At 36.6% G+C, this 26,994-nt stretch overlaps 1 protein-coding gene across 13 annotated transcripts in view; it reads right to left on the reverse strand.

Annotated features, from left to right (window-relative positions):
- Nucleotides 1–26,994, reverse strand: part of DIAPH3 (diaphanous related formin 3) — a 498,346-nt gene that overhangs the window by 97,463 nt on the left and 373,889 nt on the right. For 11 of the 13 annotated variants that reach the window (XR_002957478.1, XR_002957480.1, XR_941672.1 and 8 more), the window contains 2 exons: nucleotides 11,683–11,778; nucleotides 11,144–11,203 (listed from right to left, as the gene is read on the reverse strand). Coding sequence is in view for 9 of the 13 variants with exons in the window: in NM_001258368.2 (NP_001245297.1) it covers nucleotides 11,144–11,203; nucleotides 11,683–11,778 (156 nt within the window). In the remaining 4 variants the exon portion in view is untranslated. Of the gene's footprint in view, nucleotides 1–11,117; nucleotides 11,204–11,682; nucleotides 11,779–26,994 lie in introns of those variants that run through there. The other 2 variants (NM_001258369.2, NM_030932.4) reach the window with 1 other exon arrangement.

A 26,994-nucleotide genomic window follows, 5' to 3' on the forward strand; every position in this document is an offset into this window, starting at 1 on the left:
TACCCAGTCTGTGTAATCTGTTAAAACAGCAAAAAATAGACAAAACAATCTCCAAGAACCCTCTATCTTTATGCTTTTTCAAATATTGTACTATTTTTTTCTGCTACCTTGTTTTCCATATCCAAGGGATCCTTGTTTCCTAATTCTTTTTCATACATATATCTTTATATATGTGTATACATGTGTGTATATATATACACATATAAGTGTATATACATATGTACACATATATACATATATTCACATATATGTATATACATGTGTATATATGTATATACATATATGTGTGTACACACACACATATGTGTATGCATGTATCCTGTTCCTTTCATCATTGAAATAGTCTTTTAGGCTGTGCATGGTGGCTCATACCTGAATCCCAGCACTTTGGGAGGCTCAGGCGGGAGAATCATTTGAACTCAGGAGTTTAAGACCAAGCTGGCCAACACAGTGAGACTCTGTCTTCACAAAAAATAAAAAATAAAAAAATTAGCTAGGCATGGTGGTACGTGCCTGTAGTCCCAGCTACTCGCAAGGCTGACGTGGATGGATGGCTTGAGTCTGGGAGATCAAGGCTGCAGTGAGTTATGATCATACCACTGCACTTCCGCCTAGGCAACAGAGAGAAACCCTGTCACAAAAAAAAAATTGTCTTTGATATCCCTGAAATTATAATTGTGGTGTTTTGCTTGAAATTTTTCTTTTGTTCTTCATATTTTCTCTTTTTATTAAGAGGTCCTTTGTTTTTCCTTTTTTCTCCATATTAAATGTTTTCCTCAAATGTTAGCTAATGAATCTGTGGCCCAAATCAATATTTAAGAGTAAACATTTTGTGTGAATAAGTAAGTTGGTTAACTAATGGGTTTCTCTGTGTAATTCTCTTGCTCCGAGCTAGTACTGTGGGGAGGAGCAGAGTAGTACCAGAAAGCCTGTTCTCTAGACTGTTCATTATATCCAGAGATGTATTCTGTCATCTGCTTGGAGCATAAACTTTGCTTCTGTATGCTAAGAACTAAGTGGCAAAAGGGAGTTAGAAGAGGCTTTTTCAATTCATTTCCACTTTTTTCTCCTTAGGTCATCTTCTGTGTTTACATAATCCCTGTTTGCAGTAGAACACCTTGCTCCTGCTTCATATTCCCATTCTAGATTCTTGAGCGCAATTGTTCCTAACAATAAATCTCTGATCTCCTGGAAGGGTGGGAGAAAGGGAAGTGAGGTGAGGCAGTATAGCATAATGGTTAAAATTCTGGACTTCGGAGTCAGACTGTCTAGATGGTGGCTGAACTGCTCCTTTTCCAGTCCCATTTTCAGCTCTATGGCTCACTAGTTCTGTCAGCGGTTCCTGGCACCAATAATTCCTGAGCCCTCAGAGTCCTGGGAGGGATGGATCAGTCCATTTGCCACTGGGGCCCTGTGGTGTTGTGGATTGAACTGTGTCCCCTCAAAAAAGATATGTTAAAGCCCTTACCCCTAGTACCTGTGAATGTCAACCGTATTTGGAAATAGGATCTTTGCAGATGTTATCAGGTAAACTCAGGGTCATACTAGATTAGGTTGAGTCCTCATCCAATGACTGATGTCCCTATAAGGCAGCCATGTGACAAGTTAAAGGACACATGGGGAGAACACCATGTGATGATGGAGACATACACTGGAGTGATGCAGCTACAAACCAAGGAACACCAAGGACCACCAGCAATGACTAGAGCTAGGAGAGAGGCATGGAATAGATTCTCCCACAGAGCTGCCAGAAGGAACCAGCATTGCCAACATCTTATTTCAGACTTCTAGCCTCCAGAATTGTGAGAGAATAAATTTTTGTTGTTTTCAGCCTTCCAATTTGTGATAATTTGCTATGGTAGCCCTAGGAAAATAATACATCTGGATTCCAGCTTTCCACTCACATCATCGTTTTCTCCATCCTTCCCATGTCTACATATTGTTGTTCCAGATTAAAGATATCTTGATGTCACAGGTGCTGGGAATTGTTTTTGTAACTCTTTCTCTTGGTGGCTCTGTGGTGATTGACTCCCAGGGACAAAAGGAGGTAAAAACATCTTTATTATTCTATTTTAAAAACAAAATTCTCCATAGTCTTAATTTTCAACTTTTTTCTGCTAAACTAGTTTATATTACTTCCGGTATTTTAAGTACAGTCCAAGAACTATTCATAGCAAGAAAATTAATTTCCATGTCTCCAATTACTAAATCCATTCTATGTGCCATTCTTGTTGAAGGATTTGCAATAACTTTCTATTGGCAAATGTATCATGGAAGGAAAGTGAAGAAGGGGAAGGAATGAGAAAGTGCCAGCGTATTTTGAATTTATTGAGTAGCTACTCAATTCTAGGCACTACATCACAAATCTGGGCACCTTCATACACTTTCATTTAGTCTTCCTAACAGCCTATGAAACACATAGTGTAATTCCTCTTCTTATAGCTGAGGAAAAGAAAACTTAAAGACAAATAACCACAGTCACCCTGATAGTAAGTAAAGAATTTAAACCAGACCTGTTTGACCTCAAAGCCCAAACCTGACTCCGAACTGTTTTTCAAGGTCAAACTGCTCTGCCAGACCATTCACTTGTAGAAAGAGTATTTGAAAATCTGGCTAGTTTTATGCTTTCACAAATAGTCACTGAATAAAAACAACTACTGCTATTTTTTTTTAAATACCTACTATGTGTAAGGTATTTTGCAAATTATTTATTTTTAATACTGACAGGTGGTTTCCATATCTGTGGCTACTTGGAACTGACCTTTAAGGAGGGCAAATAAAGTAAAATATAAATCCAATGGTATCTTATAAATAAATACCAAGTGTTGTTTTCTTAGAAAAGATTTCAGACACATAATGCAGTTGGCACATGCCTGGAAGAAACTCAGCTGCAGTAGGGTCCCCCATCCCTGCCATAATGCCTACTACAGATGGAATACAACAGCAGAAACACTGGTGAACCACACATTGTTATGTTCCAAAAGAGTTTTCATTATTTTCCTGTAACTACTACAGTTTTCAAAACACAAAATATCTTATCCTATCAGAAAATTTGATGACTCTGCTTGGCTGGTGCTCTATAGCACACCCAGTCTGCCTACTGCCTGAGCATTGTGGTCACACGTGGTGATTACTTTTTAGAACCTTTAGGCTGCTGGGGATCATTTGCCCTTTTTCACAGGGCCCGGGAGGCACCTTGGCTACTTTTCTTACCATGGATTTCACACACTATACTATCACTACATAAGTAATCATCTCCCTCTGCAACTGGGCCATTAATGTAAAAATTATTTTGTGTCTCCCTGATCACTTTCTTCTGACATTCCCTAGAGATCTGTCAGCCCCAATGACCTTGCCTCCTTCCCCCAGCCAGAGACTATGACTTTAAGGAAGAGATCTTATCTCCTAATTCTCAGAGAAAACAGGTGTTATCAGATGGGAGCTCAGAATTTTCCCTCAATTACTGTCTGCATCCACTTCTGTTCAAACATCCTTCCTTTGTAACTGTCCAGGTGCTCTGCACCTATGCTTTCATATCCCATTCCCCGGGAACCTAACCTAAGCTACTGCTCCCCTAAGTCTTAGCCCCACACCTCCAGAACTATTAATACTTCCTTTCAGAATACAAAGACAGTAAAGCCTTTGTCATATGAATGGCAAAGAAACATAATATGCTCATTAAATCACAAACCATTTGGTTCAGCTATTTTCCTACTTTTTCTTTTCTTCATATCTAGGCTTTCAAAAAAAAAAAAAGAAAGAAAGAAAGAAAAAAAGCTCCACTCCTCCTCCAGCCAAGGCTACCTGGCTTCAGTTTCTACCAATACTGCGTTTCTCAAGGTAAGCAGTGATACCCGAGTCCTTCAGTCCAATCTGTGCTCGGGTGCTTATCCATCCTTTTTGTACCTGGCCTTTCTGAACATGTGGCTTTGGTGACTATTCTTTCCCAACTTCTTTGTCACTGGTGGCTCCTAGGGGAGAACGCTCCTCCTCTGGCTTCTCTTTCTCTTTCTTGCTCCTTCCAAGTTGTATGACCCAGATGAGCCCTGCACTCCTTCCAGCTTGAGAGATCCAGTAAGACCAAAGACTATCCCAGGTACACATGACGTCATTTCCTCTGTATGCTCAGTGAACCTCCACAGTAGCACCACCTCGTTGGATTGTAACTGTTTAGGTTAAACAATTTATTTGTCTCTAAAACTGTAGATTCACCAAGAATTTGACATGCCCATGAAAGTTTAGTTCTCAAATGGCAAACAATTATTAATATCATAGAAATGGCTTCCCTTTTAAGTAATGCAAAATTACACAACACATAGAAACAGAGACAATGTGTAACAAATCAGTAATCAAACGACAAAATAAGTAATTCTTTAATCCTCTTTTAAAAGGGATTTTTATTTTGGGAGAAATTTGAGGAAACCAACATATCCTTTTACCAGTTTTTTTTTTTAAGTCCAAACACAAAATTTAAAACAAAAGTACAGAGTTCAAGGAGCTTCTAAAGTCTGTCCATTGATTCCTTATAAACTTAGACTCTGAACTTTTGCCATAAGAAAAGGGAGAGATTCAGAATGGGCAAACGATTTAAAAAGATCATAATAATTATAGTCCACTATGGAACACAAGCAGAACAAGAGATATTAATCATAACAACCATTTCAGGGAAGTCAAGGACATTACTTTCCTTATACAATACAGTTCTTTATCTCCTTCTCACTAAATTTATTCCAGCCTTCAGCATACATTTGTGAATGCTCATTAAATGAAAGACATTTGCTATTTCTTGCATAAATGTCCTTTTAAAACAACTTGAAGTCTTCACTACTTGAGACTTTTCTAACCTGTTCATGCTTAAGAGTCTGTTTGATAATGACTATGCCAAAAGGTTGTCCTGCCCTGACTATAAATTAGATAAGAAAAGCCTTTCCTGTCTACCCACAGGGCATCCTTACCTAGGCAGGAGCCCTGCTGAGTCCATTCTGCCTTTTGCTTGACTACATGGTAAATATAAGAGACTGATGTTTGAATAAACTGTGAAATCATCCAAATTATTTTACATTCCTAGCCTAAAAAAATCTCCTTAAAAAATATTTAAGTCTTTTGACAGCTACAGGTAGCATTTGATTCTGCTTGAAAGCCCAAGTGTAAGGGTGTCAAAAACCATTAGTATTTTAATAGCTCCCTTTCTTAGGTTATTTGTCAGGCATGAGTTCATCAGGAAAAGAACAAAAAATACTCTCAAAAAATAGGCCAATGACATTTAGAAAATCAAGTTATTTTAATATATTGTTCCTTATGCTCTTTCTACTTTAAAATAAGATACAGTTAAAATAAATGAAAATGGTAGTTGTCAACATTTACTACTTCAATAGAGTTGTCTTCATTGTTTCCAAAGAAGACTTAAGGCAGTTAGTGCTCAGTAGACACCAATGGAAACCTTAGAAATTTCCTAATTCTGCCTAAAGACAAACTCTTGCTGTTTGAGAAAAGGCAGGTCAAGAAACAAGGTGTCCCAAGATCGAGTGGATTGGGGATGGGGGAGGGGTGGCTATATATGAAGTTTTGATATATCAACAACAAAGCCCATCTTGTGTGCCTCCCTTAGAAAAATATGCTAATTCAAAGATATCTAACCAGCTTCACATTTAACTCTGACTTCAAATCAGAGTGGCAGAGCAGCTGTGCCTGGAGGCAATACAATCTTATTTCTATAAAAATCTCTCAAAGTGCCATATATAAGTGGAAGAGTAAAAATAGATAATCAAATCCAAATTAAGGCTATTAAGAATTGATTTAGTGTAAAGATAATATAGCAAGATTTTGTTTAGGTTATGGATGCTCTCTAAAAATGCATAATACTTGTTTGCCTAAAATTTTGATTATGTTTTATCTTATTTTGTCACAGTTAAATAGTTTTATCTTTAGGGGTTTTAATTGCATATAGTTTATAGAATTCTTTCTGATTACTCTCTATCCATTTAACTGGAAAAAAAATCCCACTGTACCACTTATGAAAAGAGAACCACCTAATAAGGATGCAAACAAACTGCAGGCAGATGCAGCATAAGGTGTGGTTCAACAATTCATATCTGTGGAGCCTTTATCACAAAAGTTTTACAGACAGTTCACAGAGTGTACAGTGGAAGAGAAGTCCCTAGGAGAGTAGGAATTAATGTATCCTGAAAAACACCAGTCACTCAGTGGTATACCAGAGGTTACAAAGAAAACAATCAAGAAAAGAAAAAGAAATGAGAAAACCAAAGTCTTCTTTCAACCTTCGTTGTATAGGCTCCACTACTGTGTAATTCCTCCCAACTTCTTGATCTCTTTTCTGCTTCTCCTTCACTTCATTACTCACCTGACTCCATTCCTAAGGTTCAGTCCTTAACTTGCCATTCTCTTGTTTTAAAGATTCTCCTTTAGATAACTCACTTGCTTATGAATTATTAGCAATTCTCTGTGGGGGTGTCTTAACCTAGAGCTCTAGGCTGGGCCTCTTTCCTTTTTGACTTTTTTTTTTCTTCCCCTCTTTGACTTTTCCCCATCCATAGCAGCCGATTCATACTGGCATATAGGTTGCCATGAAGTCCTTTCAATCCCTCCCTCTCACTTACACTTTAGTTCCATACTAACTATGGGGACCTGTCATTTTCATGCTCAAAAACCTCAACAATCCAAATTCCTTGGCCTGGTGTCAGACCCGCAATATACTTCTTCCCCATCTGGTACCTTAAACTGGGCCAGCTGATTTCTTAACACTCAAACACCATACTATGATATTTATTAAAATGCATTAATAAATATTTTAATTATCTTGATTTAAAAGAGGAGATTTTACTATTTTCTGTAGACTACAGAAAATCTTTAGGTTTGGACTGTGTTGAATAAAGAAAATAGATAATGCCCTGTACTCATCAACAAATACATTCTTTTGTTTTAATGTTGCCACACTTTGCTTGACTAAGGGAAAGATATTTAATAAGTAGCCCTCCACTTCTAAGAAGTGAGTAACCAAATCGAAATTGAATCTCCCCTCCCCTACATCTGATCCGACAACTCTTTGAAGCTATGCATAGACCAAACAATCAAATATCTCCTTTTGATGATAGATAACTTCAAGGGAGGAGATGGGAAGCGGTTAACTGTGTTCACAGCTGGAACTTTAGCAACTGGCATATCAAATTATTTGGGTGACATTAAGAGATTTGATTTTACTCCTTAATATGTATTAACAGTTCCATTCAAGTATAAACATAAACATGTCTGTTCATTCAACACATTCTTATAAACACTTACATGCCTGATACCAATCCAACTAAGTATTGGGGTTACAGCAGTCAACAAGACAGATATGCTCCTTTATGCCTTGTCTCCACTCTGATGAAACTCATGAGTACTGTGACAGACACTGAATAAAAACATCTTCAGGGCAGTGTGTATTATAAAATGGGAAGACTAGGGTGTTACTAGAATGTACAGTTCTACAAGGTTCAGACTGGGGTTCAGAAAGGACCTCCTGAAAAATTGCATACATGCTACTACTGCTGCTGCTGCTAGGCTCACTCTTGCCCTTGGGTTTTGGCCTCATTTCTACTCATCTTTCAAGTCTCAGCTTGCATTTCAGATCCTTTCTGGAAGCCAGCTCTAAACTGTCCTCATGAAGTCTGGATCAGTCTTTCTGACTTCCTGGTCTTGCCAAAATTTTTTGTTGCCTCTAACCTGGCATTTACCAAAAGTAGGGCAATTATTACTAGTCTGTCTTTCAACTAGATGGTGCATTCTTGGAAGATATCTATAAATCTTAAGTGCCTAGCAACAGCTTAATAAATTTTGCTGAATAAATAAAGATTTAGCACATACTTCATTTCTGCCTGTGCCTTTACAGCCAAAGCAAAAGATAACAGGTACAACTTGTAACCAAAGTGTTTTTGGTAGAGGTTTGGACCACAGCACAAAGGCTGGATAATTCAGTGCATGAGATGTCTGCTTCTGAAGTCCACTGAAGTTAGAATGCTTGAGGTCAGTTTGCTAAAATACATATAGGGACATTTTAGCCCCAACGTCCAGGAGGATACTTTACCAGAATTTTTTTCTATTCTGAGAGAAAAGATGCTCTCTCTATATATAAAAAGAAACCTAAGAAGTCTGAGACTATAGCTATGATTTAAGAAGGCACAGACAACACACAGACAGCAAAAGATATACAGACAATAAAAAATTAAAATTGCAGCTAATAAACTCAAATTTAGGCTTTGGATATATATTTTTTACCCAAGCTTTCTATAATATTTCTAACACAGCATAGGTTTATTAAAATTAACAAAAATGTTTTAATACTGAGTTTATTAAAATAAATAAAAAGTGGTCATAATTAATTCCAGATTATTTTCATAATCCAAACCTCAGACTAGGAAAACAGTGCTATCTAGTGGCTAAATTTGGGAAGAAGAGATGAGGCACACCAGAGGCTGGAGAACCTCTGAGAGGCTGTGTCTCAATTGTTTAACTTTATGTTACAAGCTAAAAAAATGTATGCATATAAGTCACCAGCTCATGGATGGGAAAGGAATTAGACATGGATTCAAGCAGTTATATTAAGAGTATGGCATGGCAAAGAAAGTAACAACTTGGACTCTGAAGTCGGATAGGCATGCATTCAAAATTTGACTACGTGCCCTTAAACAAGTTATCAGACCTCTTTAATACTTGACTAGTTTCGACTATGAAATGGAGATAAAAATATTGACTCTCTGATAGAAATATTTGAGAAGGTTAAATGGGTAATATGCATAAAATATTCATCATAGTGCTTGGCATTTAGTAAGCCAAATATCTCAGTAAACATTAGCTTATTATTATTAATATTATCATTATTTTACATAGGCTATAAATGAATTTCACATAGCTGTAGAAAATCTTTTAAATCTTTAAAAATAAGTTATGAGATCAATAACAATATATACTTGTAGAAAATATAAATATTAGACATCAATTTTAAGTATATAAAAGCAAATTAAAAAATAAGTTCAATCTTACATTTCAATCACATAGTTCAGTCGTAGGGTTAGTATTTTCAATGAAAAAAAGTAGTTTTTAGAAATAGAAAGATTTCCAATGAACTCCAAAATGTCATCCTATACTAAAAATAATCACTACCCTTTTTGCAATGAAGACATTTTCCTTAACCAAATCCTGCATTTTTGAACATCTAGTCCAATAAATCTACATACACACAATTCTTAAGATAAATTTGGTCATTTGGATTTCTTTCTACTTGGTTAGAAATATGAAGGGAAAACACAACAGAAATATGAATAGAAAATACTTTCTAAAAATGTAGGAATTCATCACATTTATATTAGAACAGAGAATTTGAACTTTGTGATATATCTTGTTCGGCTTGCTGTATAATCTACTAGCTTAATTATCATAACAGCCTTAGAACTTAAGCCAGTACACATTAGCTTTATAAAAATGCAATGCTCATCTGCTATATATATAATAAACAGAAACATTATGATTTATACGTAATTGTATCTGAGCCATTATATCCCAGACACTTTACTAATATTATAGTCACAAGGCTGAGTTCTCCAAGACCAGTGTACAAAGTTATCTGAACTAATTTTCCCCCACATAGTATCTAAAAATATATATTTTAAATTAACTGTAGGATGGTATATGCATATCATTAATCATATCACAATCATTGTGTTTGGCTGTGGCTCTTTTTTAATGACTTAAAGTGGGGGCTGAGTTCATTATGCTGTTACTATTAATAATAAAAAATAACTGAAGTACATATACGAAATCAAAAAAGAAATACAATAGGAATTGGAACCATATTCTTGTCACAGCTGTGTCACTAACCAGCTCTGTACTCTGGAAGTTTTCAGCCTCTCTGGGTTTCTATTTATTCATGGATAATACAAAATCATCCTTAAGATCAGGATAGATCTACTCTCTACAGGTTTTGCCATTGTAAAATATGTCACAATGGCTCTAAATCATAACCCTAAATTTAGGAATTACTTAATTATTCACAGTGAACTTCTCTTATTCCAACTCTTTTTATTTGTATTGTTATACAAGAGAAAGGCAAGACAAAAACAACAAAAAAGACCTATTTAAGAGACTGCAGTATATTTTTACCTTTACTGTCATTTGTTAAGCACCTACTATATATACTTTACCTTCGGCAGTAAGGATCCCCACACCTATTAAAAGATAATTACATCCATGTCTTTTTCTTATTTACCTAATAATTATTTTAGCTTCCCTAGAAATTGGCACAGGTTTTTCTCTCAGTCACATGTTAATAATTCCAGAACTTAAGTCATCTGCACCCAAAAAACTCATACAAAATCTGTCAAGTTGTTTTACATTTATAAATCTGGCAAACATTAGTGACAATCTCACTTTGAAAAACAGCACCCACAATCAACGAATGTGTTTTGACTGTGGAAGGTAGGCAGAACCCAAGGACATAACACAGAGGGAAAAAAACAAAAGCAAATAAAAGCCAATCAACATGAAATGGTACCCTGAACAGAGCAGAGAGTTCTATGCGGTTGGGCATGGAGGACTGGTTAGAGATTTTTGACAGGAGTCCATCTTAGATAAATATCAGAGACTAAGTTAATTCATCTTCTTAGTGATTTTATCACATCCTTCCACAATAATACCACATGAAGCTCATCTACACTTACCATTTTGCCAAAATGCCAGTTAAGGTATTTCTAACTGCACTGGCAAATGTGGGAGATTAAAACAAGATGACAGATTTAATACTTCAAATTGTATCTTGACATATAGTAAGTCCACTACTTTAAAAAGTGTTATGAGAAAGAGTGCCTTGGATAACACTGATCAGCAATGATTGAATGTTAACTTCAGATAATTATAATAATAAAAAATTCACTAGAGACCTGATAGAAGAACCTAAGACACAACCTCAAGGCAATAATATAAGGATGAAAAATACGAGTACGCAATCTCATAGCAAATATGTACATGCACACATTTTTACTATTTTAGTTATATTGGAACTTGAGAATTTCACAGCAGTCTACTAAAATCACAGATCAATAGGATAAAAGTAGATAAGAAGAATGTGCAATTTATAAATACGGTTTATTACCATGGTTACAAACTTTCAGAACAGGCCTCTGAGACATTGGACTGAGACTCTGCCGAACATCTGTTAAAAAAAAAAATAAAATAAACTTAATATAGAGGTCTGGGCATCTCAAGAAGGAAAACAGTATTAGACATACTTTTTTCCAAGGTTATGTATTTCTGGCAGCAAAGTAATGCTTCAATATCCTGAAATACTTGAAGCAGTAATGTTATGACTTTTACTTCCCATTTAATTATGCTACTGTAAACTCCACTGGGATAAGGTACATATGGTTCTTTAGATGAGACTTGTCACACTAATTAGGATTTTCTAGGTTCAGTGCATTGATTTGTTAATGTGCTACTGACATCGGCCAACTGGAATGCATATCTCTCTGACATTTGTCTGTGCAAGGGATTAAGCAAACTTATGAAACTTCTGAACAGTTGTTGCCCACGGCACTGCATTCTTGACACACAACTTCAAAAGAATGAGAAAAACAGGATTCTTTCTCTGTGATAGCTCCCTAGAAAGTAACATGAAACAAGTATAGGGTTCACCTTTTGGCATCGGTGTCCTTTTTCTTCTGTCGCGGAAGGCAGCCCCGGACTGCAAGGCCTCCAGCAGATTATCCATCACTCCTGTCTCATCACCCTCTGTGAAAAGAGATGCAGGGAATTCCATCAGCCCTCAGGGTTACCATAGCAATGTCAAAGCATATACAAAAACTGGTGATGGTGATGGTAGGGAGAAAAAAGATCAGATGCCAGGACTAAGCTAGCAATTTCAAAATAGGACAGGACTTTAACTCTCTCATTAAATCAACTATCTTTTAATGAAAACTGCCTCATTAGTGCCTATGTTACTGTGCACTAAAGGGACCGAGTTCCACGGATTCACTTCAGAGCACTGCTTTTATAGTCCAACAGCACAATTACCTTAAATGGAATGTGGTTCTAGTCATGTTTGAGTCTTGAGTTATAAATCACATTTCCTTTGTAGAGATGAGCTATTTTCAAGGCATCATCTTCTATTCTAAAGTCAACCAGGTATGGGAGAGAGTAGTTTTTGTTTTTTGTTTTTTGTTTTTTTTGAGACAGAATCTCGCTCTGTCGCCCAGGCTGGAGTGCAGTGGTGAGATCTCTACTCACTGCAAGCCCTGCCTTCCAGGTTTACGCCATCCTCCTGCCTCAGCCTCCCGGGTAGCTGGGACTACAGGCGCCTGCCACCACGCCCGGCTAATTTTTTGTATTTTTAGTAGAGATGGGCTTTCACCATATTAGCCAGAACGGTCTCCATCTCCTGACCTCATGATCTGCCCGCCTCAGACTACCAAAGTGTTGGGATTACAGGCGTGAGCCACTGCACACGGCCCGGGAGAGTGTTTTTGTTGTTACTGAGATTCTGCTGTCTAAACTTAGCAGACAAATTATATTTCCATGCTAACTTTTAAATATAACAGATTATATTTCCATGCTTCCAACAATTGATTTTTCATATCAGAAGATAATCATCCCCTGACTTGAGGTGACACAGAACAATCACTACAAAATTTTACAGAACGTATAGTTTATCTTCTATAATGAGAAATAAATCAAAAGAGGCTCTCTGAAATCAAAAGGACTGCACTCCATTAAGATTACTTTAAATTGATATCCTGTATATAATTAAGGAAATACGTGGATATAGAGCCAATTATCTCTACAAAGAACAGATTATGCCTGTAATACTTATAAGTATTTATAGTTATCAATGTTAAATATTGTTCAAAGAGAACAGGAGAAAAAGCTTCAAAGGAACTACTGGCCCAAACCAAATTCAAGAAAACCGTAAGGACTTTTTGCCCGTCCAGACAAGGTAACTTGCAGGCATTCTTTATGAAATTGTATGGCTGGTATACTGCTACATTTAAAATAATGGAAAGCTATTTTCCTTCGAACTTTTATTTTTTCCTTTTTGATACACAATCCCTTTACAGAGATAAGATGAAAAGTGAATGCAGTAGAATACAAATAACATACTCATTTACAGTTTATAAACAGATATATAAATATAAATATGTATCAGCCCCTTTTCCATCTGCTGCTATTTCATATTTTTAGAAGAGTACTAAACCTTGTAGGTGTTATCAAAAAAGGTGGGTGAGAAATAGAATATTTGGAAGTTGTGAATTTACAATAAATGTAATTCTAAGTGATTTGATGGCTATTTTAACTAAAATACATTAAATATTTCAGACAAATAGCTATTTGAAAATTTATTTTCAAATTCAACTATATTTTTCCTTAAAAAACTGCAGGTAATGTCAAATATTTAAGATAGTAAAAGAAAAAGAAAACATTTCAAAATCTAAAATTACAATTTTAAATCTTTTTCAAGCAGTCATGAGATTGAAAAAAAATCCTAGTACTGAAATCAAATAGAAACAAATAAACATGTTTTCATATTGATAGATTATAAAGGAGGGGGAAAAAAGAATCCAAGTAACTTTTGAATACTTTAATGGCATAAAGTTTAAGGGAAAAAAACTATAAAGAAAATGTGAACTTTCTTCTTAGTAAATTTATTGTTGGTAGTGGTATTGATGTAGTGATTCTCAGACTATTGTGTGTGTATAAAAGCTGGAGCAGATGTGTAAATGTGCCGATGTGCTCACTGTGGGAAAGAAAATGGAAATATGGAATTGGAGAAAAAGAAAAAGAACCAAGAAGGGTTGGATTGGATGTATAGGTATTAATGTAAGCTCAAGGCTTAACAAAACAAAACAAACAAACAAACAAACAAAAAAACCCTTTTCCTATAACACTATAGTAGCATCAATGAGCATTTGGATCTTGGTTTCTAGCTACCGTTACTAGTCCTAAAATCTTCGTTTCTAATGACCTCTCTCGCCCTCAGATCTTGGTTTCTACATACCATTACTCCCTAAAAGGAATGACAATGCTTACAGAAATGGCTGATTCTAGAACTGAGGCCAAGAAAGTGTGAAATGAGTCAGAAACATATTGTTGTGCCAGAAAATAAGAAAGTGCTCAAAAATAGATAGTGATATGTTGAAAAGACAAAGAAGCCAGATTGAAACATTGCCTTGGCCAAATTTAGGACAACTGAGTATCAAATAAATAATCATGGGAATGGGATTATTGCACACTGAGGAAAAAAGAATCATGCATCCATAGTGATACTAAAAAATACATAGTAATAAAAATGTAGGAAGGAGAGTTCCTCTTTAAAGAACAGTGTCAACTAATAGATGTCAAAGATATGAGGGAACTACAAAATTCACCACATTACAATTCACATAGTAAGAAATGATTCAGGCAGGAGTCATCAACGGTTGCAAAAACTATTGTGCATAAGGGATGTAGAGGAACAGGATATAGAGAAATCTGGTAGATACCACCTTATCCAAATAATCAAATTTGACATTACCAACAATGTGGAATATGCTGATATCAATTGCCTCCTGAAGTGATGCACAACTTAACCTGTGTAGCACTTCGCACAAAAATATTTAACTTGAATCTGAATGCAAGGCAACAATCATAGAAGTCCAAAGTAAGGGACATTCTGTGACACAACTGGCCTAGGATCTAAAAATGTATCAATATCATGAAAGATAAAGAGAGGAAGAAATAGAGAAAGAGAGAAGAAAAGGCTAGAGAACTGTTCTAGATTAAAAGAGACTAAAGAGGAACGACAATGAAGTATAGAGGAGTCCCTGATTAACCCCTGAATTGAAAGAAGTTATATATGACGTTATTGGGATAACTGGAGAAATTTGAATATGGACTGGGTATCAGATAATTACATTGTACCAATGTTAAGTTATCAGAGTGTGATAACTGTATTATGGTTCACTAGAATAATCTCATTGTTCTTAGGCAATAAATGCTGACAGTTTTAGGCTCACAAAACAACTTACACAGTCTCATGTTTATTACTTCATGCCTTTGAACATGCTATTATATCTACACAGAACATCTGTCTCACTTTCTTCACCAAGCTAGCTCTTACCCTTCCTTCAAAACGGAGAACTGAGAATCCTTTCCTGACCCATGTGGCATAAACTAGGTGCCCCTCTGTGTCCCAGTGGTCTGTAATACATATACCAATAAATTCTTTACAATGTTATATTGTTTATGTGACTCTTTCTACCACTAAACCACGAGCCCACTGAGGGCAGGGATTATAGATTTCATTTATCTTCAACACCTGGCAAAATGCGACTATTATATAGAGAGTGTTCAATAAATATATGCTGGCTAAATTAGCTAAATATATGTTGACTAAATTAGCTAAATATATGTTGACTAAATTAGCTAAGATGGTCAGCTGGAAGGGTTGATTATGCATGAGAATAAAGCTCATAGATGGACAGGGGTCCAGGGAAGAGATGGGAATACATTCCCGCCACCATTCTAAACAACACAGCTTTCTTTCTTCCTTTTCCCTTGTCTCATACATCTATTTAGTTGTCAAATACTATAGACTGAAACTCCCCATTATCTCCTGAACTAATCTGCTGTTCCTTTTCTAACTACACTTTATGTTGGTATTACAGAACTGAATTATTTTTTATCTGGAATACTGCATGAGTTGCCTAGTCACATTGCTTCCAGTTTCTCCCTAATTCTGCCCATGCATTACTGATAAGTAAGTCCTACAGCAGAAATGATCTTCAGTTCCCCCGGTCACAAAGTTTCAATATATCTCAGTTCTTACAATATAAAGTTCCAACTCTTTTTTTCATTTTTATTTTTAATTTTCTTTTTTTTGCTCAAATGGATTTTGACAGATAAAGTCCAAACTCTTATTCCTACCCCAACAATGATTTCAATTGTATTTCCAATTGTATCTCTTACTTCCAACCATCCCAACCTGTTCTTTAGCTAAAGGCAACTGCCTGTGATTCTCTACAAACATTCTTTCTCTCGTCCATCACTGTCCACCTGGAACCTCTACCCCTGCTCTCATCCTCCAGAGCAGATGGCTATTTTTGGCCTTCACTCTCACATGCATAATGGGAAGAATACAATAATGAAGTAAAACAACTTGCATTCTAGTCTGAGCTTTCAACTAACTACCTGTGAGACACTAGACTATTATATACATAATCATTCCTGACATATGCAATACAGACAATACCTGTCTAGGGTTAATGAGGGAATCAAATGAGATAATACAAATGAAAGCACTTGATAAATTGCTAAGTGATATACAAATATAGGGAAAGAAATTCACAGATAAAATCCATGGTAAATTACAGGACATGTATGAAATGCCTGCTTATTATTAAATGTTTCAAGCACTGTTTTAGATATGTTACAAATGAAGGAAGTCTTTTTCTTTTTTTTTTTTTGAGATGGAGTCTTGCTCTGTCGCCCAGACTGGAGTGCAGTGGCATGATCTCAGCTCACAGCAACCTCTGCCTCCCGGGTCCAAGCGATTCTCCTGTCTCAGCCTCCCAAGTAGCTGGGATTACAGGCGTGCCCCACCATGCCCACCTAATTTTTGCATTTTTACTAGAGACAGGGTTTCACCATGTTGGCCAGGCTGGTCTCGAACTCCTGACCTCAGGTTATCTGCCAGCCTAGGCTTCCCAAAGTGCTGGGATTACAGGCATGAGAGTCACCGCGCACGGCCGAGGGAAGTCTTTTATAGTGTATTCTATTACGCTCTTCATTAGGTATAACATCATTTCTAAGAAAAACTCTGACTTGAAGTACAAATAGACTCTTGAAATAAACCAAAGTGTAAGATGGGGACATATAAAGAAGATGTTCTTCCAAATGTTAAAAATGCATTTAGAACATTCAACCAACACATGTTCACCTGGCATATGGTACGGTGTGCCAGGATGTTACTAGGCACTAAAGATACCTAAGACCCATGCATATGGTACTGTGTGCCAGGATGTTACTAGGCACCAAGATACCTAAGACCCATGCATATGGTACTGTGTGCCAGGATGTTACTAGGCACCAAGATACCTAGGCCCCAAAGGTAAACACAAAAGCATTTCTGCTCTCACAAGCAGAAAAGTGTATATATGAGTTACTGGAGATGTACAGCTTCCTAGTGAATGATGACTCGAAGAATAAGCAGGAGTTACTCATGTTAGGGACTGTAGAGGGAATAGCATTCTTGGCAAAAGGAATAACAGGTACGAAGGCAAAAAGTATGAATAAAAACAAAAAATGAGGTGTAATAAGATGTTTAGATGATTTATATTTACAGTATTCTAACATAGACCAGAGAAGTTAAAATTAGTCAGTTTTTCTTAGAGTAGAATTCAATTTCTCCAGCTATAATTTATATTAAAAATATTTATAGTTTCTCCCCTGCTGTGAAAACTCTTAAATAACTAGACTAACTGCAAAAGTCAAAGATTTCCTATATGTGAAAAACATATCATCTTAATTTGTAAATGGTATTTTAAAAAATTGCACTGTGTCAAAGGAAATGGAGAAGGGAGAGTTAAGGACATTTCTAAAGTGGAATCAATAGGTCTTAGGAACCGAAAGAAGGCGGAACTGCTAAGGACATGTCTGAGATCTCTGCGGCCCATTGCTGGAGAAAAGAAAATATGAAATTTAAATATTATTGATTTTGATGGGGAACAAAGATTGGAAAATATAATGAGTTTCCTTTTGGACATGTTAATGGAAGGTGCTAGCAGGGACCTCCAGTAACTTCTGGAAGACAGCTGGAAATTCGGGCCTCAAATTCAGACAAAAATGTGGGTAATATTTTTGGAAGTCATTTCCATATTGTAAAAAATACTCATTCAGCACTCTGGAAAAGTATATGCCTGAATCAGAAGAGGTGGCATCTTGGAAACCACCTAAGTTTAAAGGACAGGAGAAAAAAGATAAGTCAGTGATCCAGTAGGAACTCTCTTTCCTTATTCCATTTTCTTCAGCCACGGTACAACCTGAAATTTTAAATAACTAAGCATACAAAGAAGATCCTAAAAGGTTCTAGAATGCTGCAAGCAAGTAAACAAATGAAAACAGGTCAAATATGTAGGAAGGAAATAAGACTAGGACTGGATTTCTCAGTGGCAACACTGAATTCCAAAAGATAGGCAAGAAATGGTTTCCAAATTCTGAAGCGAAATTATTTCCAGTGAAGAAATGATTATGTTGCTAATCAGACAAGGATAGAAAATGGACATTTTTCAAACATGCAAGTGTCTATACATGCCATCTTAGAAAGAGACTGCAAGATGTGCTTTTGCAAAACCAAAACAAGAGGGGTAGAATAGTAAGAAAGAGGAAAACATGGCATCCAGAAAAGGAGAAGGGACAAGAGAGCAAAGTGGCAAAAGGAATTCCCAGGATGTCCCAGTCTCAGAGCAGCCAGTTTAGATCACATGGATCACATGGGAGGAAACTGGGCAGTGGGACAGAGTAGTGGCCACAGAACCGGTAGCAAATCTATTGTGTCGGACCATTTGCAAAATGATTGCTGATTATTTCCCAGATCCATTGAAGACTTTGGATAATACAGTAACAGGTATGTATGTACAAATACTAAACAAACTTTTTGAGAAGTCTCTATTAATCTAGAAACAACAAGATTGTCCCATAGGAAATGCTGTAGTCTGAATGTTAGACTTGATCTCCAATGTAATGGTATTAAAAGGTAGGGTCTTTATGAGGTGATTAGGTCAGGAGGGCAGAAATCTCATGAATGGGATTAGTGGCCTTATAAAAGAGGTTCAAGGAAGCTGTTAGTCCCTTCCACCACATGAGGACACAGCAGCAAGACACCATATATGGAGCAGACAGTGAACCATCACCAGGCATAAAATTTGCTGGCATCATGATCTTGTATTTCCCAGCCTTCAGAACTGCAAGAAATAAATTTCTGTTGTTTATAAATTACCCAGTCTAAGGTGTTTTTGTTATAGCAGCAGGAAAAAACCAGGACAGAAACAAGGAATACTGAAATTTGGGGTAAAGAAAAAAAAACTTAAAAATTAAAAGAAGAAAAATAAAGAAAACAAAGTATATTTACATAGTGCCAATATTATAAACACTGGCCATTCTGTTGGCCATCAACTGTGATATAATTATAATGAAAGACAATGGGGTAAAGGAAGAGGGGTAATCCACACAAGGTGGATTAGTGGTGAGAGGGCATTAGGGAACTAAATCAGGAACTCAGTAATGTCTAAAATAAAAAATTGATATGCAACAGTCTATGCTATTATCTAGAAATAAGGAACACATAAATATCAGAAGAAATATCTAAGAATTAAAAGTGATTGCCTCTGGGAAGTGGGAGGAGGTTGAGAGGAGTGAGGGAGAAGATATTTTATCATGCTATGAGCCTATTATATTTAATTTAGGAATTTGTAGACATTGATAAATACAAGATAGTTAAAAATTTTATTGAAAGAGAAAGAAGATGGCTGAGGAAGAGAATTTGAAGGAAGAGGTTGATTCTTGACCTAAAGATGCTTACCTCTGAGAAGGGGAGGAAGACAGGTAAAAATCGTAAAACACAACAGGTTGAATATTATGACAGAGATATTCAGAATGTGGTACAGGGTGGTGGGCATGTAGTATGGGGCAGAGGGAGAAGGAACAGCAGTTACAGAAGGCTCAGAATATCTGAGACTTAAAGAACCGATTTAAGAGTGCCAGAGCTGTCAAAAGAGACAAGACCCAGCTAAAGCTGTCAGGAAAGCTGTACAAGGCAGGGATTCTTGAAGAATGTGCAGTGGATATGAGTAGGAAGAGATAACAGGGGTAACGCTGCGAGGTGAAGGTGAAGAGAGAGCCGGGGCCAACTCACCAAGGGCTGAATATACCATGCTATGGAGTTTAGACTTTAAAGGAGCCATGAAGTCATTTTAAGCTAGGAAGTAACATGGTCAAATTTCTACTTTAGAAAGAATATTTTGAGAAGAGAAAAGACTAAAGGCAAAAAACAAACAAACAAAAAACAAACCCAAGAGGCATGTTTAATGATTTAAATCTAGACAAAATGTGATTTCAGGGCCCAAGTAAGTTACAGAAGTGGTGAAAATAGAAAAAAGAAAGGAGGAGACATAGAGAAATCTTGGTATCCGTGGTTGTGAATATTATAAAGAAATAGTTAAGGCTGATTTCCAGGCATTTGGCTCAGCCAATTGTATATATATTGATATCATTTGCCAAGTACAGAACCGTCTTTGTTTGATGATAGAATGAGTTGGATCTAGACAGGAGCTCAATTTTGGATATGTTAAGTTGAAATGTTCATGAGATATACAAATACAAAGTGATTCAAGGCTTCTAGAGGGCTGATAGAGTCACAGGTTTAAAACTTGGGAAAGAGGAATTGGTTACACTAATACATTCAACTTAGAAGCATAGGTCGTACCTGAAACTATGGAAAAGAGTACAAGCATAGTAAAGTGGTAGAGAACACAAGTTCTGAATTCATCCATTTAGATTCAAACCAATGGCTCCCCAACTAACAATCAGTGTTATTGGGCATATTACTTAGTCTCTAAAACCCTCATTTATTCCCCCTAAACGTTGAAAGGGCAAGAAGAACAGCACCTATTTCACAAAATATTGAGAGGATTAAAACAGATAAATCACGTACAATGCTCAGTAGGGTGCCTGGCTCATATTAAGAGCTTACTAACAGTGAATCTTTGTTATTTTGCTTATTGATATTATGGTAGAGCTTGAGCTCTCTTAGGGAGACATTGTGTAGTGACAAGAAAAGAGAGCTGAGGGTAATGCACAAGGCAAACTAATAGGAAAAGGTGCTTTTAAGAGGAAATGACTATTATCAACCTGTGACCATTTTCCATTGTGTTTACTTTGTGTGTGCTTTTATAGCTCCTTCTTTTACTTTCCACTGTCTCCTGACATACTTTCCTAAAGTCAAACAACTATATATTACTATTATTTATTTATTTATTTAGAGGCGAAGTCTTGCTCTGTCGCCCAGGCTGGAGTGCAGTGGCGCGATCTCGGCTCACTACAAACTCCGCCTCCCAGGTTCAAGTGATTCTCCTGTCTCAACCTCCTGAGTAGCTGGGACTACAGGTGCACGCCACCACACCAGCTAATTTTTTGTATTTTTAGTAGAGACAGGGTTTCACCATATTAGCTAGGATGGTCTCAATCTCCTGACCTCGTGATCCACCCGCTTTGGCCTCCCAAAGTGCTGGGATTACAGGTGTGAGCCACTATGCCCAGCCTATATTATTATTATTTTTTGAAGACAGCTCTGTCACCCAGGCTGGAGTGAAGTGGTGTAATCTCAGCTCATGGCAACCTCTGCCTCCCAGGTTCAAGTGATTCTCATGCTTCAGCCTTCAGAGTAGCTGGGATTATAGGCATGTGCCACAATGCCTGACTAATTTTTTGTATTTTTAGTAGAGATGGGGTTTCACCACGTTGCCCAGGCTGGTCTTGAACTCCTGAGCTCAGGCAATCTGCCTGCTTCGGCCTCCCAAAGTGTTGGGATTACAGGTGTGAGCCACCACGCCCAGTGACATTTTCTAATATTTCAGTAGTAGTAAGTGACGTGAAGATTACAATCTGGAATTTGGAATGGGACTAGGGAAGGAAAGCACAGTTTCCCCAAAGGTTGAAAGTGTGCAGTTGATATACAAAATTCATAGGCTTATAGTTTAACCCAATTCTAGAAGAAAAACCACACACGCGCGCACACACACACACACACACAGTTGCCCTAACATAATTACATGAATTATTCCTCTATGATTCTGGTTATAGAGATTTTTGGGAAAAAGATTATACAGCTTCTCTTGGTAACCCAGTTCAGTCTTTAACTAGCTAGAACAAAGCTCAAAATGCTACTTAAACCAGACAGCAAAAAGACAGGAATAACTTCAAACAAAGTCTTTGAACTTGTCTTAATCCAGATGTGAAACTGAAAATTTATTTGAGTCAAGGGAGTTAGAAAGCCGATTTTCATTGGGATTTAACTGATAAAATGATAATCAGAACAGTTCTCTTTCATACTGTAATTAAGTGACTGGCTCAACCACAAGAAGTGGAATTTTATGGGGAAAAAACTCCAATAGGTTAATATTTCTGTTTTTTTCTCCCTTATTCGTCATGATTTGTACAAATTTCATTAAATATATTTCTGTTACAAGTTAGGAGAAAAAATTAGAATATTTTACAAGAAAGGAAGTTTTATTTATTTTTTCCTTAAAATAGAGCACCCAAGAGCAAAGTTAAAGAGTGAAACTCCTGGACTTGAATCTTGCTTCTTACTCTTATCAGCTGTGTGCTCCTTAAAGACCACCCCTGTCTCCTTGTGCCTCCTCATACCTATAAGATGAGGATAATAATAGTATTTATCCTCAAAGACTATTGTGAAGATTAAGCAAGGTATAAAGAGCTTAGCACAGTGCCCCCCATATGTAAGGCTTAAAAAATATTAGCTATTCATATTTTTAATATTTTGATGACTATTCTTGTTCACTAATATAGCAAATATTGCTGATTAGTCAATGCAACACATTCATTCTCTACCTTCTCCTTCCTTCCACAGAGGCTAGGAAAGCTAAAATTTCTCTCTGTGGCTCCCCTGCAGCTAAGCTAGAAGTGGCCGTGTGATGCATTTCTGTCTAATAAGGCATATATGTACATAAAGTATGGTATTTCTAGACATAAAAGATGTATATGTTGATAACCACTCTTCCTCTTCCTATCTTAAATATGGCCTGGAATTACGGCAGCTATGACTGCTATCATATGTTACCACCTCCTTCTTCCTATCTTGAATAGGCCTGGATCTGTAGCATCCATCTTATACTTAGGAGTACAGACCACAAGGTCATTCTTTTAGTTGCTCTGGATAAAACATACGGCTTGCTGGAGCCCAGGAGGCAGAGGTTGCAGTGAGCTGAGATCACGCCTCAGCACTATAGCCTGGGTGACATAGCAAGACCCTGTCTCAAAAAAATCCCATGACCAACAACAAAAAATAAGGCTACATTTTCAAAGTTTAAGTGAAAAATATTTTGCAGCTACATTAGAATGTGTAAACCATAATTAGCATACAATTTATTACATTGTATCCAAATTTGAATCTAAATAATTTCATGTCTTACACTAAATAGGATTATAGAGATGATATTTATGAAATAAAGGATTATTATTCTACAAACTCTCCAGCTTAAAAAAAGAAACCTATTCTTGGATGTCATGAATAAACTATGATTGAATTTTAACTATATACACAACCAGGAAAAATGGTAATATAAATATACTATAACAAATTGTATCATATTGTTATTAATTCTTAATTTTCACATTTCTTATGATTTAGGTTCTGTTGTAAGAAAATAATTCCGGATAAAAAAGCTATTTATCTGCTCACTTAATTGTCTACTCAAATAAAAAAGTTACAATCATTTTTGGAATATAAACATATTAAGGCACAAGATGTAAGAGTAACCATATAATGGATGAATTTGTCATTACAAAAATAAGGAGATATATCACATTTAAAAAGAAAAAAAACTTCAGTACATAAGACAGCATTTCCTAAAGTGTGCACCACAGAACACTAGTCCTATAAGAAGCTCTGTGTGTATGTGTTTAGGGAGAGGGGGTAGAGAAGGTGGCTCTGTGGTCAAATAAGTTTGGATAATAATGAGCAACAGAGGCTGGGTGTTGTGGCTTACGCCTGTAATCCCAGCAACTTGGGAGACTGAGGCAGGAGGATCACTTGAACCCAAGAGTTCAAGACTAGCCTGGGCAACATAGTGAGACCTTGTCTCTTAAAAAAAAAATAGCCAGTATGGTGGTGCATGCCTGTAGTCCCAGCTACTCAAGGGGTGACGTGGGGGGATCACTCGAGCCCAGGAAGTTGAGGCTGCAGTGACCCGTAGCTGAGCCACTGCACTGCAGCCTGGGTGACAAAGTGAGACCTTGTCTCAATAACAATAATAATAATGTGTAACATGTACTACACTTGGTGATTCATATCAAATACACATGACAAGTCAATTCATGATAAAGGTGGCATTTCAAATCAGTAGAAGATTAAAAAAATGTGTTCAATAACTACTGTGGTAGCATTAGCCTATTTGGATCTCACCTTGTTATTTATACCAAAATAAATTCCAAGTGGATCAAACATTTCAACATTAAAAGATTAAAGTGTAAAACTATAGCAGAGAATATGGAAAAGTATATTTTCAGTAGTTCTGGAATGGGAAGATATTCCTAAGAAAATCCAAAAGTAATATAAATATCTAAAAATCAAATAGGACAGGTACAGTGGCTCATGCCTGTACCCTCAGGACTTTGTGAGGCCAAGGAGAGAGAATCACTTGAGCCTAGGAATTTGAAACCAGCCTAGACAACATAGTGAGACTTTGTTTCTATTAAAAATAATAAAAAATCAAATAATAACAAACTGTACACATAAACAATGAAAGGATAAGCTGGAAAAAATATTTGAAACATTGGCATTCCCTCGGTCTGATTTTCTTAAAATAAAGAATGCTTGTAACTCAGTAAGAAACACCAAGAAATGGGCAATTGCTATTCAGGGAACCCATCTTCTATGATCTGAATCTTTGTGTTCCCCCCCAACCCCAAATTTATATGTTGAAATCCTAATTCCAAGGTGATGATATTAGGAGAAAGGGCTTTGGGAGGTGATGAGATCATAAGGGCAGAGCCTTTGTTAATGAGATTAGTGCTTTTATAAAAGGGATTCTAGAGAGCTGCCTTTGTCCCTTCCACAATGTGAGGACACAGCTAGAAGGTTACAGGCCCTCAGTGAACACTGAATCTGCTGGCATCTTGATTTTGGATTTTCCAGCCTCCATAACTGTGATAAATAAACTTCTGTTCTTCATAAGCTACTCAGTTTATGATATTTTTTATAGCAGACTGAATGGACTAAGACACCATAACAAAAATAAATAAACCATGCTTTAGATGTGATATAATCCTCAACCTCATTCATAATTAAAGATATTCTAAATACATCAATGAGAGATCATTTTCATCTAACAGCATAGCAACAATGAAAAATTATGATAAATCAGTATTGGTGAAGGGTTGGGGAAGAGGTCACTTCACACATTTGTTGCTGAAAAATATAAAACTAATGCAATCACTTCGGAATATAATTTAGTAATTTTTATTAGAAATAAAATTGTGGCCATCTGTGGTGGCTCATGCCTATAATCCTAGCACTTTGGAAGGCCAACGTGGGTGAATCGCTTGAGGCCAGGAGTTTCAGACTAGCCTGGGCAACACAGTGAGACCTCTCCTCTAAAAAATAGCTTTTTTAAAAAGAAAAAAGATTGCACATATCACATAATAATTTTTCTCTGAGAAAATTATTCTACATGTATAACTTACATGTGTGGAAAAACATGTAAAAGGGTGTCTGTTATATTGTTGTTCATTGTAACAGGAGACTAGAAACAAACTAAATGTCCATCTACAAGAGATTGACTAAATAAACTATGACATCCATATACCAGAATATTTTGTACTGTCAAAAAATGAGGCATATTTAAATTATTGATATGGACCATCTCCAAAATATAGTAAGTGAAATAAACCAAGTCCTTATTTTATCAATGAGGACATCGAATGAAGACCTTTCTATGACCACTTATGGCTATTAACTACAGAGCCAGCAATGGGTTTTACGACTTCCAGCAGCTTAGCAATTATTCCACCACATGGTGCTGAAAAAAGGAACTACTTAATCATTTTTCCAGTGGTAAATGATTGTTAAAATGTCTTGCATGTAAGTATTCAAGTAACCCACTCTGATGAGCTTGTTCACTCTGACCTATTCTAAAATTACTAAAGAAAGCAAAATTTAGAAACTGGCATTGACTCCCTGGCAAAAAGAATGCTACCACAGTCGACCTTGTGTGTTATGTAGGGTCTAGGGTGCTGAACAGATGCCTTCAGTTGCAAAAGCACAGAATGTCGGCGGGTGGGGGGGAATGTATCTATTTAAATACATATGTAGATGTGAAGTGATAATGACATTTAACAAAATGTGACTATCACACAGAGCGAACACCCACGATCCTTTAATCACAGAGTAACCCAGGGAGGAAAAGGTTAATTACATGGCACAGCACCTCCACTTCTGGGTAGAAGTTTCACTTGTCACCCACAAGAGCTTCACTTTATTCTGAGTGAAGTTTAACAAGCTTAAGCTTGACAAATGCTTACTTCGCATTGAAAATATATTAGGATTTGTTTTAGATTTGTTTTAGTATTTTATTAGTGAAGAATTGACTTTTCAATGGCTTTTTTCCTTATGAAGTTTTTGAATAAAGAATGAAATGGTTTCAGATAATGAAAATGCTTAATTCAATAAGAATTAAAAAAAGAAGGGGAAGGAGCTAGAGAATAATATCGGTAATTTCACAGGAATTTTCTTTCAGGAGAAGCCAGGATAAATGGACTTGAGGCCACGAGGAGCCAGTGAGTGGTGCCTGGAACACCGTATGATGCCCAGAGGAGCCCAGCAGTCATGCTCTGACAGCAGCATATGGTGCGCACTGGAAGAAGGGGAAAATAAGGTCAGGAAGGCAGACTGGGAGCTTGGATTCGAGGCTGAAGAACTGCCATCAAATGTTTTTGAAAGGTGTGAAATAATCAAAACTGTACTCCATGATGATTAAAGCTGGCATAGTGTGAAGGTGTCAAGCCTGGGTGACTGGGAAAATGGTGGTATCATTAACCCAAAATGAGAACATGAAAATCAGGTTTTATGTGGAACACGACAAGTTAGGTTTTAGATGAATTGATTTTGAGGTACTGGCAGAATATTCTGTTTTGTTCAGGAAGTAGTTGGAAATATAAAACTATAAAGTCTATTGTTTAATT

Source organism: Homo sapiens, chromosome 13, assembly GCF_000001405.40.
Source record: "Homo sapiens chromosome 13, GRCh38.p14 Primary Assembly".
Taxonomy (NCBI): domain Eukaryota; kingdom Metazoa; phylum Chordata; class Mammalia; order Primates; family Hominidae; genus Homo; species Homo sapiens.